The following is a 2,509-nucleotide window of genomic DNA, read 5'->3' on the forward strand; positions in this document are numbered from 1 at the left end:
CCAGCTCTGACCTACACCCCGGGTTGCCCCTGCACCCTGATCCACTAGGCCCAGTGCGCTCACCGAGATTGGGTGATTTCCATCCATCTTAAATTTCTAACTATGACTTCTATCATCTTCAATCTATGGGTTTTTTGTTGTTGTTGGTTGTTTTTTTTTTAAGTTTTTTGGGTACACAGTGGGTATATATATTTATGGGATACATGGTATGTTTTGCTACAGGTATGCAATGGGAAATAATCACACCATGGAGAATGGGGTATTCATCCCCTCATTATACTCTAAGTTGTTTTAAAATGTACAATTAAGTTATTATTGACTATTGTCACCCTGTTGTGCTATTGAATAGTAGGTCTTATTCATTCTTTCTATTTTTTGTACTTACTAACCATCCCTGTCTCCCCCTCAGTCCCCCACTACCCTCTACTCTCGATGTCCATCCTCTATTCTCTGTGTCCATGAGTTCAATTGTTTTGATCTTTCGATCCCACGAATAAGTGAGAACATGTGATGTTTGTCTTTCTGTGCCTGGCTTATTTCAGTTAACATAATAAGCTCCAATTCCATCCATGTTGTGGCAAATGACAGGATCTCATTCTTTTTTATGACTGAATAGTACTCCATTGTGTATATATACCACATTTTCTTTATCCATTCATCTGTTGATGGACACGTAGGTTGCTTCCAAATCTTAGCTATTGTGGACAGTGCAATCTACTTTTAAATCCACTGAGTAGATTTTTATTTCAGGTATTATATTTGTCAGTTCTAAAATTTTAATTTCACTGCATGTTCTCACTTATAAGAAGGAGCTAAACAATGTATACACATTAACATACAGACAGGAATAATAGGTGGTGGAGACTCCAAAAGGGAGGACAGGAGAAAGATAAGGAATGAAAAATTACCTATTGGGTACAATGTACAGTATTCTGGTGATAGGTACACTAGAAGCCCAGACTTCACTGCTAGGCAATATGTCCATGTAACAAAACTGCCCTTGTACTCTCTAAATCGACAAACATTAAAAATAAATAATAAAATTTTCATTTTGTTCTTTTTTATACTTTCAGTTTATTTGCTATTATATTTTAGCTACTTGTTCATTGTAAAATATTTCTCTTTTATATCTTTGAATGTAGCTATTACTGCTGCATTGAAATTCTTTTTTATTATTATACTTTAAGTTCTGGGATATATGTGCCAAACGTACGGGTTTGTTACATAGGTATACATGTGCCATGGTGATTTGCTGCATCCATCAACCCTTCATCTACATTAGATATTTCTCCTAATGCTATCCCTCCCCTTGCCCCACCACCCCTGACATGCCCCTGCGTGTAATGTTCCCTTCCCTGTGCCCATATGTTCTGATTGTTCAACTCCCACTTATGGGTGAGAACATGCGGTGTTTGGTTTTCTGTTCCTGTGTTAGTTTGCTGAGTATGATGGCTTCCAGCTTCATCCATGTCCCTGTAAAGGACATGAACTCATTCTTTTTTATGGCTGCATAGTATTTCATGGTGTTTATGTTCCACATTTTCTTTATCCAGTCTAACATTGATGGGCATTTGGGTTGGTCCCAAGTATTTTCTGTTGTGAATAGTGCTGCAATAAACATACATGTGCATGTGTATTTATAGCAGAATGATTTATAATCCTTTGGGTATATACCCAGCAATGGGATTGCCGAGTCAAATGGCATTTCTAGTTCTAGATCCTTGATGAATTGCCACAATGTCTTCCACAATGTTTGAGCTAATTTACACTCCCACCAACAATGTAAAAGCATTCCTATTTCTCCACATCCTCTCCAGCATCTGTTGTTTCCTGACTTTGTAATGATCTCCATTCTAACTGGCATGAGATGGTATCTCATTGTGGCTTTGATTTGCATTTCTCTAATGACAAGTATGAGCTTTTTGTCATATGTTTGTTGGCTACATAAATGTCTTCTTTTGATAAGTGTCTGTTCATATCCTTCACCCACTTTTTGATGGGGTTGTTTGGTTTTTTTTCTTGTAAATTTGTTTAAGTTCTTTGTAGATTCTAGATATTAGCCCTTTGCCAGATAGATAGGTTGCAAAAATTTTCTCCCATTCTGTAGGTTGCCTGTTCACTCTGATGATAGTTTCTTTTGCTGTGCAGAAGCTGTTTAGTTTAATTAGATCCCATTTGTCAATTATGCCTTTGTTGCCATTGCTTTTGGTGTTTTAGTCATGAAGTCTTTCCCATGCCTATGTCCTAAATGGTATTGCCTAGGTTTTCTTCTAGAGTTTTTATGGTTTTAGGTCTTATGTTTAAATCTTTAACGAATCTTGAGTTGATTTTTGTATAAGGTGTAGGGAAGGGGTCCAGTTTCAGTTTTCTGCATATGGCCAGCCAGTTTTCCCGACACTATTTATTAAATAGGGAATCCTTTCCCCATTGCTTGTTTTTGTCAGGTTTGTCAAAGATCAGATGGTTGTAGATGTGTGGTATTATTTCTTAGGGCTCTGTTCTGTTCCAT

This window comes from Homo sapiens, chromosome 14 (assembly GCF_000001405.40).
Source record: "Homo sapiens chromosome 14, GRCh38.p14 Primary Assembly".
Lineage (NCBI taxonomy): Eukaryota > Metazoa > Chordata > Mammalia > Primates > Hominidae > Homo > Homo sapiens.